At 38.9% G+C, this 14,584-nt stretch overlaps 1 protein-coding gene across 12 annotated transcripts in view; it reads left to right on the top strand.

The window, feature by feature from the left end:
* CNOT4 (CCR4-NOT transcription complex subunit 4) overlaps nt 1-12,450 on the top strand; it is a 148,308-nt gene extending 135,858 nt beyond the window's left edge. For 7 of the 12 annotated variants that reach the window (NM_001393373.1, NM_001393371.1, NM_001393372.1 and 4 more), the window contains 2 exons: nt 10,179-10,391; nt 11,059-12,450. In NM_001393373.1, the coding sequence (NP_001380302.1) occupies nt 10,179-10,391; nt 11,059-11,360 (515 nt within the window). In that variant the 3' untranslated portion in view covers nt 11,361-12,450. The remainder of the gene's footprint in view (nt 1-10,178; nt 10,392-11,058) is intronic. The other 5 variants (NM_001393375.1, NM_013316.4, NM_001190847.2 and 2 more) reach the window with 1 other exon arrangement.
* The last annotated feature ends 2,134 nt before the right edge of the window (nt 12,451-14,584 follow it).

Below are 14,584 nucleotides of genomic sequence, written 5' to 3'. Positions count from 1 at the left end.
CCATTTTGGGGGAGGACTGAGGAGTCAGTGGGATGGGAACAGAGCTAACTACAAAGTCTTTGAGTTTAGATGGGCAGCAGAAGGGGAAAGGAAGTAGGCCGTGGGATATATAAGGACTTTTCCAATGGAAAACAATTGTCAGTGGAACCTCTATGACTACTTGTTCAATTTCAGAATTAAACTTCCTGTATATTTTAGGTGGAATCAAGCTGAGTTCTAGTCAAAATGCTACGCATTATTTCCCATGAAAAATACCCCCAAACACAAGCAGACAGAACAGTGGTTGATAAACCCATCATATTCATTTCTGAAGAAATCATCAAGCCCCAAATCTGTTTTAGAAATTTCTCAAGAACTAATTCTAGACTGGGCATGGTGGCTCAGGCCTGTAATCCCAGTGCTTTGGGAGGCAAGGCAGGCAGATCATCCGAGGTCAGGAGTTCGAGACCAGCCTGGTCAACAAGGTGAAACCCCGTCTCTACTAAAAATACAAAAAAAAAATTAGCTGGGCTTGGTGGCACTTGCCTGTAATCCCAGCTACTCAGGAGGCTGAGGCGGGAGAATTGCTTGAACCTGGGAGGTGGAGGTTGCAGTGAGCCGAGATCGAGCATTGCACTCCAGCCTAGGTGACAGAGCAAGACTTGGTTTCAAAAAATAAAAATAAAAAAATAATAATTCTAAGCATGTTGCTTCCAGAGTCTGCCATTTCTTCCATTTTTGGTATTTTTCTAACAGTGGTTTTGTGCTCTCACCTGTGAGGATTAAGAGCCTGGGATAAAACTCATTTTCAGTCTAAAGATTTAAACTCATTTGAATTGAGTAGATGCTTTTGTGATGTCTGCATCTCTCCTGACTTAATAGTTCCCTTCTTCACATTACTTAATCTGTCCTTTTGGTTAGAAGATCATGCTCTTACCTAAAGATAGAAGGAAGCAAAATGAACATGGAACTACATTGCCCTGCCTTTTCTCCTGTCAAATATGGCATCAGGCTGAGCAGTGGCTTTTCCTGATATTCCCCTTATTCAAAACATAGCTTTGTCTTGCTTTCAGCATTTTTCACTTTCCTCAGATCATTATGGATTCTGACTTTAATCCGTAAGAATTATACTTTTATATACAAGTAGGTTATATACCTCTACCCATCTTTTCTAAGCTTTCTTTGCAAATCTAGTCCCATCAGATTCTCCCTGTGTAACAACCAACTTCTTTAGATTTCCTCTAATTTTCTTTTCTTTATAGATTTATTTATTATTGCATAGTCAAAATGTCATGTTTTAGCATCTTCTGTGGCCTGTGAATCACTGCTCTCTATAACCATGGGACCACTCCCACCCATCCTTTTCCCGATCTTTTTTTGGATAGTTGTTTTCTTAAAAAATCTGGAAGCAGGCTGGGTGCGGTGGCTCACGCCTGTAATCCCAGCACTTTGGGAGGCTGAGGCTGGTGGATCACGAGGTCAGGCATTCAAGACCAGCCTGACCAACATGGTAAAACCCTGTCTCTACTAAAAATACAAAAATTAGCCGGGTGTGATGGTGTGTGCCTGTAATCCCAGCTATTTGGGAAACTGAGATAGGAGAATCGCTTGAACTTGGGAGGCAGAGGTTGCAGTGAGCCGAGGTCGCACCATTGCCCTCCAGGCTGAGCGACGCAGCGAGACTCCGTCTCCAAAAAAAAAAAAAAAAAACATGGTAGCAAACGTTCAGGGTTATATGTTTGGGAAACATACAGTACCTACTGAAGTTCAGGTTCAGGCATTGTCTACTACATAGAAATGATTAAATCGAGGTCCTTTTCCTAGAGGAGCTCAAAGTCTAGTTGTAAAAAGTGAACATGTAAACAAATGATTGCAATACACTGTGGTATTTGCAAAATAGCGAGGATGCCTGCCATCTAAGAACTCAAGTATAATTATTCCCATTCCCTGCTTTTGTAAATCCTAAAATTATGTCACGTCCTCCTAGGGTTTCTGTTATTTTTGCAGTAGCCAACCAGTTCTTCGTTGGTCAGAATTAAGTCCAGAATAAAAGTTTTCTTCCTTATTTTCACCTTGGAAAAGAGAGATCGTCAGCAAGGAATGTTTTATCAGGTTTATTTTCTTCTAGCAGATTTAGACTTCAGAGATGTTAGGGTGGTTGACACCTTCCATGTCTCTGCAATTTTGTCATTTGTTTTGGGGAAGTCATATTGGGTGAATATTCTGGTGATCTGTGTATTGTCTCCTTATTTTACATTCCCTTGACCATCTTTGGATCTCCTCACAGGGCTTTGTTCATGGTCACTGCTCAGTTTTGTGCTCACTTAAATGCTTCCCTCCAGGCTGCTGCTTTGACATTGTAAAGATCTTTTATATGAATCTTTTTTGTCCCTTGCCCTCATTTAGCGTTGCTTACATATTGTGGTTCGGGTCTCATCTGATCCAGTCTGTGATGCTTCTAAGGGTGTATGTATCTTTTATATTCAAATTTGTTTACTTTTTCCTCTTTTTTTATATAACTTTGCACATGAGTATTTTTTATTTTTTCTTAGATTCTGATTCCTTAGATCCTTCATAAAGCAGCCATCTAGATTCTTCTGGTTCTCATTAATCTGATTCTCCTTCAAAACAGATTTATAGATCCTTATAGGAACATTCTAGAAGAGAATAATATACATTATGCCAAACACATCTACTTATATTTTGAAATGTTCCCACTGTATTTTTTTATTTGCTGCCTGTGGCCTGTGTGTCCCTGTGTTCTCTATGGGATGCCCTTTCCCTCTTCCACATCAGCTGCTTTTCCTCTGATGTTTTCTTATTTGCCGTTTATCCTATATGTAGAATGCAAGAATTATTCACTTCCTTCTTTATGCCCCACAGGTCTTTGCTCATACTAGAATAGCATTTATTATCCCATGTTGTAGTTATTTAAACACATTTACCCTTCCCTTCTGTTAGCCCATGAGTCCTGCCCAGGACACAGACTGGTTGGTAGTATGCTTGATGGCAAGAACAAATGCTTTGGAGTCAGACTGATTTTAATTGCTGACTGCAACACTTTAACTCCATAACCTGGGACAAATTCTTTAAACTACAGTGCCTACTCAGCCTCCTCATTTGTAAAATGAACCTACTACTTAACCTCATTGGATTGTTGATACTAAAGTAATTGAGTACATAAAGTGCATAGTGAGTGAAGGAATAGTGGCTGAAGTAGAAAAATGGGTAGAATATATCTTAGAGACTTTTGTTTAATATCCTGCACACATAATAGTGGAGTATTTGTTTTTAATAAAACATTCCTTCTTTAAACAGTTTTGATGCGTTGGACTTTTTAAAAGTATATTTGCTTGTGTTTTGGCATCTGAAATGCTATTAAAAACATATCATCTTAGTGGCTCATTTCCTTCAGTTTACATGCAGAGAAGCCTCTTGGACCCCAAAACTTAACTTACTCCTCCTGCATTCAGAAAGCTTTGCATCTTTTTGGAGAGAACCATCTGTTCACAGCATTATACAGATAGGAATTAAACAGATTTTGTTGGGGAAAGTCACTTTCCAGCTCTTCTCAAGTCAGACCCTCAAGTCTGCAGATATCTTGATGCATGTAACATTTCTAAGACACTGAGCTACATGCTGAAGAATGTACAGGATGTCCCCATCAGGCTTTTCAGCGGAGTTGTGAGAGGTGAAGTATGAGTACATGGAAAGGTGGACAGTAACTGCAGTCGATGGCACGGCATGGTGTGCTGCCAGATGAATGGTTCAGACCCTAAGTGCTGGCCGGTGGAAGAGAAGAGACTTCGACTTTTGGAAGATTGAATAAAAACTACTTGAAGACAACAAGAAAGCATTCTAGACAAGGAGAATGGAGGGAATAGAGTTTAGAAAGCACAAGTCATATGTAGCGTGTCTGGATTTTTCTGTTTATGTCATTTCTACTAGTATAAACAAATATTGCCTTTTTTGTTGTTGTTGTTTTGACTGTTACTTTGTTCAGGTTGTTTCTGCTCAGAACTCTTTTTTTATTTGGGTTCTTAAGATTTTCCACTTAATCCAAATTCTACTTTCAGATCTATTAAACCCTTAAGATTTTGTCTGTGACCTAGTGGAGTATTGGTGTGTCTTGCATTATAATAAACATAGTTGTAGAAATTTGAGTGTAAACTATTTAACTAGAATAACATTTTTCATAAACTGATTTTATAATGTCTGTAACAATTCATTTACTAAGAAGTCATTTTCTCTGCATATTTTAGTTAATAAATTGGAATGATTTTTGTGACTGCCCTGATGTACAGTACACTTATATTATGAAGGCTTTCTTTTAAATTTCAATATGACAAATTTTGTCTGCTCTTTGAAGTTTAGTTCAGCATAAATCATTTGTATTTGAGTCACTTAGAGATTCATTGTTGAGGTTTGAGGAAGTTTAGACTTTGTTCAAACCAAGACTTTGTTCAAATGAAGATGCACTCCATCCCAAAACTGGTAGGAGATCACTTATAAGAGGGAGGGGTGTGGGGGCAGGAGCTAAGACAGGTTATTCCCTATGTCCTTCTAAAAATGCACAAAGGTTTGAAAGTCTAAATGGCAAAGAGTTAATCATAGTAGGAACCAGGTTTCTGATGTGTAGCCACTTGCACCAAGAAAGATTTGTTTAAGTAACCTAACCACTGGAGCCTGTGGTTTTGAACTATAAAGGACAAGAGTGAAGATGGAAGACAAAAGCTTTTTAGAAAAACAAAATCAGGTTGTATTGAGCCTTTTGGTAATGACCATTAAATATGGCTCAAAAACTGAAGTGCAGAATGAACACTTTTAGGTGTATTTTGTGACTGGGTCTCTCAGTGACTGCTTCCCGGTAAGGGTGTATTTATTATTTAATGAGAAGACCTTGAGGAGGGGGTACCAAAAATAAAGTAGAGGCAGGAATTCCAAGACGGCACAATATCCTGATTTGGTGGCACAAAAATATATTCGTGGAAACAAATCTACTGGAATTGTCTTGTTTGGGGGCTTGTTTTACATGTGTTTTATCTCACTATGTTGTCATTATGCAGAGGTCTTCTATGTCTTTACCCTTTTAGCAGCAGATCTTATTTTTCAAATTAAATCTCACATGGTACCCTAATACATAAACTACATGAAATCAAGGTGGGAAGGAAGGATGCCTTGTCCTGGTACCCTGCGCCCTCAACTTCCTCCATTCTTTCAGGTGAAGCTTTTATGCCAGCTGGAAAAACCCATTGGCTTGTTGCCAGTGACAGCTTACTGTTAGGAGCAGGTTTTCCCACATTTTGCTATTTATAGTTTTACATTTCATAATAATTAACATATTGCAGTTAACCTGGAGAACAGAAAGATACCCACTAGGTGCTATTAATGCTAACTGTGTGTGCTTGCCCAAGCAGTGTTCTGTGAAAGGTCTGATGTCAGAATTCATTCTGAAATATAGTCTATAATATAGTCATTGTTTAAATGCCTTTCTGTGTACTTCCTAGTAAACAGTTGGACTAGTACAGTGTTATGCAGAAATACTAAAGATAGTTTCAACCTGTTGTGAGATTTTCAGGTTTGGTGTGGGAGGAGGGGGAGAACTATGTAGTAACTAAAATGGCAACTCCACGAATGCTACTGTTCTTCACCCACCAACACGTTCCCGTACGTGTCCCAACTGGCCTGTCTTTTTACTGAACTTATGTAGCATATTTTAATCATATACCACCTTGGCATTTCTTCTGTTGCTTTTTCAGATGTAGTTGTTGAACTTTTCATTTATTTTCATTGTCCCACTGTCTAGACTTTTAGCCCCTTGAAAACAGAGGTCATGGTTTAAGTGCTTTTGTGTTTCATGTACACTGTAGGCATTCAGTAAAGAGTTGCTTTGATTTTTAGCTTGGTGGTCTTAATATATGCATTTTATACTGATTTTTTAAACTGTTGTTGTTGCTGAAAACTAGATTTGTCAGCTTGTTTAGTGCATCATGATCCGCTTACTATGGATTCTGCTACCTTGACCAGCAAGGTAGCAGAATTTTAACTATAATTTCTTCTTTAATAAGAGATTTTCTGAGGCAGGTAAATGAAGTATACTGATACTTCTTACACAGTGGAATATGAAAGTGTGACACGTCGCATCTTGAAAGTACTTTAAATTGTGTGCCTTTGAGTTCTACACTGAAAAATAAAACTACTACCAACAACTTGACCCCCTTTCCTGCCCTCAAATTGTTTAGAACTGAAAATAGTGTTTTGTTGTACATATTTATATTCCATAAAGTAAAATTTTTTAACATCAGAAAACATCTAAATATATTATCGATTCCTTAAGAATAAACACTCATTCCCTGATGTATTATACTATTACTAATTACTTTAAAAATAAAATTAGTATTGTTTTTAATATAAAATGTTTGGTAACTTGATTTTTATTATACTTTGCTTGCTCTTTTCACATCTTATGGTAAGTTTAAAGTACTTTCTGATGTCTTGTCTTTGTAATGTTTTAGTGATAAGAAGACTCATTATTAGATTGACTACACAGTACCTCTGAGAATGATGAGTGTTATTCCTAAGTTCCTAAAAGGAGACTAGTACACAGGGCTAGTTCCTGGCAGTAAGAAATACCCTGCCTTAGCTTTTTGGAAAATTTACTATCCGTTCGGTATTGACCACCAGTGGAGCATTTGTTATTAGGCATTTAGCAAGTAATGTGCTCCAAATTGCATTTCCTTCTCTTATTTTTATCCTTATGAGAGAGTAAGGCAGGTGTTATTTTTAGTTATGAATTAGGTGTCCTGGGATGTACATGCCTAAATTATATTGACAGCCAGTTGTGGAGATGCCTTATACAACCTATCTACAATGTTTTCTCTATGAGACCTGCTGACTTATACACGTTGAATTGTACTCCAGTGTGAAGTCCTGTATAAAGAAAAGAAAATGAACTTGCATCAGGTTGAGTCAGTGGGCAAAGTCCTGGTACTATTTGAAAGGAAAATGTGCATTCAAGCGAGATCATATAAGAGCCCTGGAAGCAAAGGAATCGACTTCCTTTGTGTCAGTGGTTCTCAACTGGATACAATTTTGCTTCCCTAGAAGACATTTTCAACGTCTAAAGACAATTTTGGCTGTCAAAACTGGGGAGTTGGTACCCCTAGCATCTAGTGGGTAGAGGCCGGCAATGCTGCTAAACCTCCCACAGTGCTTAGGACAGCACTCCACAACAGAGAATTATGTAGTTCAAACTGTCAGTGGTGATGAGGTTGATAAACCCTGCTGTATGTGTTTCAAAGAATGGAATTGCCAGAAGCCCTCGCAGCCAAGACAAATTTGGGTCATTGGGAGGGAATAGGGAATCAAGGAGGTGACTTCAGGTATGGCCGGACTGAGATGAGCTATTTTGATGGGATTAGGATTAAGCTGATTTCCTTTCTCTCACCTTTTCTTTGTGCCAGCACTTGGCATAGCAATAGTGGAAAAAACAGTGAAATAAACTTCTTTTCTTCTAAGCTAGATGGAATATGATCCTATTCCAAGAGCTAAAAGCATCATTCTACTTCCCTGTAACACTTGCAGCTTTACTGTAAGCCACATCCATGCTGTCAGGCTCCCAAAATGTCAAGGCACATGATTTTTTGGGGGGAGGAGGGGTGTCAAGATTGTTGCATTATAAACTAGCTAATTTATTTCCCAAGGTATCCTGTAATCATAGTGCACCTGGGAGGATCTAAATTTCTCACTGTTTCTGCATCATGCGCCATATGTGAATTTCTTTGGCTAACATACCCTTGCTTGATTTGATTAGTCTACAATTACAGGAACAAATGTCCCTTAAAACAAACTTTTTTTTAGAGTAGTTTTAGGTTCACAGCAAAACTGAGTGGGAAGTACGGAGAATTGTCATATAACCCCTCTGCCTTTATTGTCTTTTGACTTTATTACTAATTTTCAAATAAGATTTATGTAAATGCAAGTGTTATTCTGTTAATGCAAAATTAAATGTTCCTCAATTTCATTGCTCACTAAATGGTAAAGCAAAAGTTAGGAGCAGATTGTTCTGAGTTATGGGATATTCTCTCTCTCCCTATTCAGTAGAAGAGGGAGGATCATTTGCATGGACTTCTTAGGGACATTAGCCACTCGGTGTAAGATCATTTATCTTCCTGAAAATGTTCCCATGTAGTTATACATCATCTTTTTATTTCTGGGGGATTTTATTTTTCTTATAGGAAGTTTTCCCTGTTTGGCTTTTGCCTAATTGGAAGCTATTTTAAGTTATTCAGCATGACAGTTGGACTGCTTTAAAAGTTAGAGTGTACCATAGCCGTAAACCTTACTGTGATTGAGAGTGTTCTAGGACTTATATTTATGATCTTGTTTGTGTCTCATGTAGTTAGGGAGCCAGGGGGAAACTAGTGATTGTATTCTTGAGCAGAATTTTTTTCTCCTGGCCGCAAAGTCCAGTTTCTTCCTTTAGTCACAATATCTCTCTGCTAATCATGGCCAGTGGACACACTATAATGCTTCTCTGTTTCTCTTTTGCCTCCTTTCAATCATGGGTCTTCCCCTGGGCTTTCCCTTTAATATTTGACCCTTTAAAAAATTAATAGTCTGTACAGAGTAGATCGAGAGAGTAAGCTTGCTTGCTTTTTTTTGGACAGGGTTCAGGTTCAAGTTCTCAATAACAAGTTTTGTGAACTTGGGGAAATTATTCCTGAGTCTGTTTCTTTATCTAGTAAATGCAGATTATCCTTGTCTGCCTGCCTCTCAGGGCTGTTGTGAAGATCACATGAAATAATTGACTATGAGAGTGCCTTGTAAACCATACAACACATACAAATGTAAAATAATATGCAAATATAAGAAATGTGAGGTTTAGTAAATTACATCAATTATGAAATGAAAGTAGGGTTGGAGAATTTATTTTCCCTTCTGTTGTCTTGTTTTGTGTAGCCTAGAGTGCTTTTTCTTCATCTTAATAAGTTCAGAGATGACCTTCGTTCAGTTTAGTTGTAGTATTTTATCTTTTTATAAATAAGGTCAATGGAGTTAAATGCTTCACTTGTTGAAACATGATATAATTTGGCATTGATCAGTGGTTGGTGCAAAGCAAAATTTCAAAAAGAAAATTCTGATTTTGCTAAGCAGCATAGATCGTGCCTGTTAGAACATCCTCCTCCTCCTTCTCAGCGTTGATTGCCAATCAGTTCTGTAGAATCAGAAATATTTTTCTATGCTTTTTTCAAAAACTCCAGTTTGTAATTTGACTTACATTGCTATTTTCAAAAATAAAACAACTATCTAAGTATTTGTTAAACAATTAGGTAGTTGTTATACTTCACCCTTTTCCCCCTGACCAGTTAGTTATACTATGTGGATTCTGGATGGTAGTAGATCAAGTTAGTTTAGTCACAATTTATAAAAAGCCTTTTCTATGTTGCTAGTGTCTTCTCATGTTTGATACTATTCATAAATAGACCCAGAAAACTGTAGGACTCCGGGACTCAGGCTGTGAATGATTGGTAGAACTGTTGGAGTAGAGCAGGCAGACTGTGTTGGAAATTATTCCATCTAGAAGGTATCAGCTCCTGCCTCCTCGGCCTTAGTGACTAAATGGAAATACATTCTTTTCAAATTCAAAAGCCTGTTCATTACTGCTTTTCTCTTCTGAAGCACATTGCCAGTTTTATAATGAAGAAGGACTTAATTATTTTTCTTTTTCTATTGCTTATGTTTATTCTTCATAAAATGACTTTTCTTCCATTTGTGGGCTGAGAAATAAGCTCCTATATTGGACTTTGCAGACTTGGCTTTTTTATAGCGTAAATCAGCTCAGCTGGCTAAATGCCTCACTAAGTGAAACTTCATAATGTAGCTGGAACTAAATTGTGCTCTGGAGCATTGAGTCTTTAAACTGGATTATTGATTTACAAACCCATAATGGTGAAGAGGCTATAGAGAGACAAGAACCTCCCTCTCCTGATCCTTGAGCAAGTTTTTCCTCACTTCAGGGGCTCTGAGCTCACGAGCAAAATCCTAACCAAGTTTATCTTGCTAGGACAACCCATTTTAAATGCTCAATAAAGAAAGAATAATTCTTCTCCCGCTTAACCACTAAAGAACAACATATGTTTCTAACGTAGCTTTTTATTTTTTTTTATCTTTCATTTTTTTGTTGGTAAATCTCCCAGACAACAGCAGTTCTGTAGAGAGTTTAAATATGAAGGAATGGCAGGACGGGCTAAGGGCACTTCTACCCAACATTAACATCAACTTTGGTGGACTGCCCAATTCTTCTTCCCCCTCCAACGCCAACCACAGTGCACCAACGTCCAACACTGCCACCACCGACAGCCTGAGTTGGGACAGCCCTGGCAGCTGGACAGACCCAGCCATCATCACAGGTAACTTTCTCACTCCCTTCAGCTACACTGACTGCCAACAGTTTGGTTTTTAGCACAGATTAAATAAAAACCGAGATCTCTTCAACATAAGCTGCTTTTCACAAAGCCGCAAGTGTGGAGTGGCTTGTTTCGTTCTCAGGGGTCATGCAAGTCTCATTTAACCTGTCGGCCTAGTTGTGTATTAATAAGAAGGCATTTGGTGCCTAGGTTGCTTCTTCTGGTTTAAGTAGGTGTTAACATCTGGCAACATGTGTATTTTGTAGGCCTCAAAGTACAAAAGGATCTGACTTACTCTTCTTATAAGGAACATACTCCACTTTTTGTTATAAAGCTCTCTATTATAAGGCTGTCTTGTTACGCATCCCTGTCAGAGGAGGAAAAGCACAATTGGGAAATGCCATCAGGCAGTTCTGGGGAATGGTGTTTTGCAGCTCTGCCTCTGTGACAGTGGGGGACTAAGTCTAGTTCAAGAGGAGGCATGGGTTTGTGTGCCAATAAGTTCTTTGTTGTTGGGGGAGGATTGGTTTAAAAGGTCTTATTTGGAAGGAGTTTAAAATTGTAATCTCTTCTGTCTTTCCTTTTGGTTTTGCTTTCTAAATTTGTTTGACGACCTTATTCTTTCCACACAAACTCACCATTTTCCCTCTTTTTTCTTTTCTCTCCTTAGGTATTCCAGCGTCTTCAGGAAACAGTTTAGACTCTCTTCAAGATGACAATCCTCCACACTGGCTAAAATCCCTTCAGGCCCTCACAGAGATGGACGGCCCCAGCGCTGCTCCATCACAGACCCACCACAGCGCCCCCTTCAGCACACAGATCCCGCTGCACAGAGCCAGTTGGAATCCCTACCCTCCTCCTTCAAACCCTTCCAGCTTCCACTCCCCACCCCCAGGCTTTCAGACAGCCTTCAGACCCCCCAGCAAAACCCCCACAGATTTACTACAGAGTTCAACACTGGACCGCCATTAGGCAAAGAGGAGCAACCATTAGAAAATGCAGGATTTGTCCCACTCTGTTTTCTCCCTCTCAGCCCACCACCCACAGCTCCCTTCTCATCTCTTATGTTCTGAAGAATCCAGTACCTGATCAATTTTTTTTCTCCCTAACCCCAGATGCAATGCGATCACAGGGTCATTACCATCTCTTTATTAATTGTAAAAATTTTTGTTGATCCAGCATTTGAGTGACACTGTTGAATGTTTCTAAAAATGCCTTTTTAAGGAGAGAAAAAAAAATCAAAGGGCAGTCTCAATACTTAGAAAATTATTGTTTGTCTGTTGCGCATAATAATGACATAATCTGCTTAGCAGAAAATGACGATTAATCTATAGGAAAGCTCAAGTAAATGCATTATCAACTGCAGAAGTTTGAAAACCAGGTTCATTTACGTGAGATTGCTAAATGCATGGGGGAAAGCAGTGGTCCTAGCATCCATCTTGTATTCAGCTTATCATTATTGCAGGGAAAATGCTTTTAATTTAAATTAATTTTTAATTCTTTTGGCAAGTTGATGGCAAGGACTTGATTGTGTCATTAAGCAAAAGAATGTATTGGAAGTTGATGGAAAGACAAATTCATCTGTAGTAGTAACTGGCCGATTGCTAAAGAGTTCATAAGGAGGTGAGAAGTAATTTTTTTAAAGGAGAAAAATTTTTTGGCTTTAGATTTAAAGTAAATTGAAATGTTTTAAAGAAAAAAGTATTCACAGATTTAATACCTATTAATAATATAAGAGCTGAAATGTAAGTCATTTCTTCAGTCCTTCTCCTCTGTCGGAATCTTTTTTGTTTTACCATAAATTCACCTGACGAGGGCACTCTGAGATAGCACTGCTCTGGGGCCATCTGATCACCATCGGGAGCAAATCTCTGACCTCCTTGCCTGCAGCTTTTACTTAACCCTGTAGTTTCTGGACGTTTGTGCAGTATTGAAAAGACAGGAGAAAAGAAAACAGAAACCTGGTTATAACCTGACGCTAAAACTAAAAACAAGGAAATGTACCTCTTTCTTCAGAATTAAAACTAAAATCTTAAATAAAACAGAAAACTTGATGGTGACACTTGGGTTGTCCTTGTTTTTGTTTTTCTGTTTTGTTGGATGTGAGTTTGAAAGGTTTTGTGACAAGTAGCCATCAGATGTTTCCATTTGATTTTACATCTTCAACAGTGGGGAGGGAGGATGGTTTAGAAGAAGAAAGTGGAGGAGAAACAACCATTTTATTGACAGTCAATGGCATCCTTGACGTTCAGCCCATCTTGTCCTCAAGAATCCCTCTTCCAGTGCCTTTCAGTAGAAGATTCCTCTTTCTGCTATTGTATTATGCATGCCAAGCCTTCCCAACTGAGAAGCCTTATGTGCCAGTAATGGAGAGGTTATTGACATGTTGAGATGTTGGTTCTCTTTAGGGAGACCTGGCAGGAGCAGCAGTCACTATGTCACACAAGTGGCATCTCTTTGTGAGTGCCATGATGGGAAAGAGATCGGGAAACACTGATGTAGATGATCCACAGACACATCTTTTATGACTGACCATTTTAGGAAGTACCTGTTGATGGGGCAACGATCGCACCACTGACCAAAAGAGGGTAGAGGATGAAAGTTACCTGTTCCCCAACAGAGCACCAGGATCTGTGTGGTTTGTATGTCTTGCCTTGGGCTGCATTCAGAAGCCCAAAGCTGGAACTGGCATATTTTCAGCCATGTCCATTAAGGGATGTGATGTAGGATCAACTAAATAGATCTAGATCGTACGTTCTGTGCTTTCAGGTGGGTTTTTTTCGTCCTTACCTTTATGCTGTACTTTAATTTGTTAAAATTTCAACACAATTTTTAGAAACTTAAACATGATATTCTCAAATAAATGTCACCAGAAATAGATGGTGATCAAGTGGATAGTAAATTGTTTTGTAAAACTAACAAAATTTCCCTGGATAAGAGGAGAGGACTAGAAATGACAGGCTCTCTTTGCCCTTGAACTTCACTTCAGTCTCCTGAACCTTCACATTGTACTGCAAAGTGATGGACCAATGCACAAATAATATTCAGATGGCAGTGAATTGTAATCAAGGCTTTTTGCGGGGATGCGGGGAAGTCCTGAGATGGGCATATCAATAAAAATGTTGCTTTTTTTGTAAAAGGAGGGAACTCCTACCTTATAAGGCTGTGCTGTAATTGTGTGTGTGTTTAATCAGTCATACAGAAGAGTTTATAAAAAGCATGACTTTATAAAAAGTATGAAGAATAAAAATAATAATGACCTGTGTGTCTACCACCAAGGTTAAAAATAGAGGCCAGGCATGGTGGCTCATGCCTGTAAGCTCAGCACTTTGGGAGGCCGAGGCGGGCAGATCACTGTAGGTCAGGAGTTCGAGACCAGCCTGGCTAACATGGTGAAACCCCATTTCTACTAAAACTACAAAACAAAAATTAGCTGGGCATGGTGGCTCGTGCCTATAATCCCAGCTATTCGGGAGGCTGAGGCAAGAGAATCTCTTGAACTCAAGAGGCAGAGGTTGCAGTGAGTCCAGGTCACACCATTGCACTCCAGCTTGGGCAACAAGAGTGAGACTCCGTCTCAAAAAAAAAAAAAAAAAAATAGAACCTCTGGTATCTTAAAACCTCTATTTGCCCCTCTCCAGTTAGACTTCATTTTCTTTCCTTATCGTTTCAAATAGCCATTATTTTAATTTCTGTGTTAATCTTCAAGAGTTTTGCCAGCTATGTATCTATCCCTGAATAGATTGTTTAGTTTTAAAAAGCTGAGTAATAAACCCAAGCCTAGCTGTAGAAGGAAAGGGTGATGTTGTCACTATTAGATTAAGACTTTTAGGAGAAGATAAACTAAATAGCTTCTGGGGCATAGTTTGGCTTTAGCGTCTCCGATCATTTATGAAAGCCTCTTAGAAGTACAGTGGCCAAGGTTATGAGTGAGTCCTGGAAAACAGGGCTTGCCAGTTGGGGTAGGTCTTGTCAGGTAAGCACAGTCCCGGGTGTCTGGCAGAAATATGGTCTACAGGATCAGTTTGCTGTCTGTTTCCTGTGTCAAAGCTCACCATGGCTTCCCTCCAGTCCTCTGGAGTAGATCACAGACACTTAGTGAATTAAGTGTCTTAACCCTTTGGGGTGAGAGGTGGCGTTTAAAACAAGTGTCAGCTGATTAATTCACCAGGGCTTGGCGGGGAGAACAGAAACTT

The sequence above is a fragment of the Homo sapiens genome, chromosome 7, assembly GCF_000001405.40.
Source record: "Homo sapiens chromosome 7, GRCh38.p14 Primary Assembly".
In the NCBI taxonomy this organism is placed as follows: Eukaryota; Metazoa; Chordata; class Mammalia; order Primates; family Hominidae; genus Homo; species Homo sapiens.
Note: the sequence above shows the minus strand (reverse complement) of the source record. Positions and strands in the feature narration are given on the sequence as shown.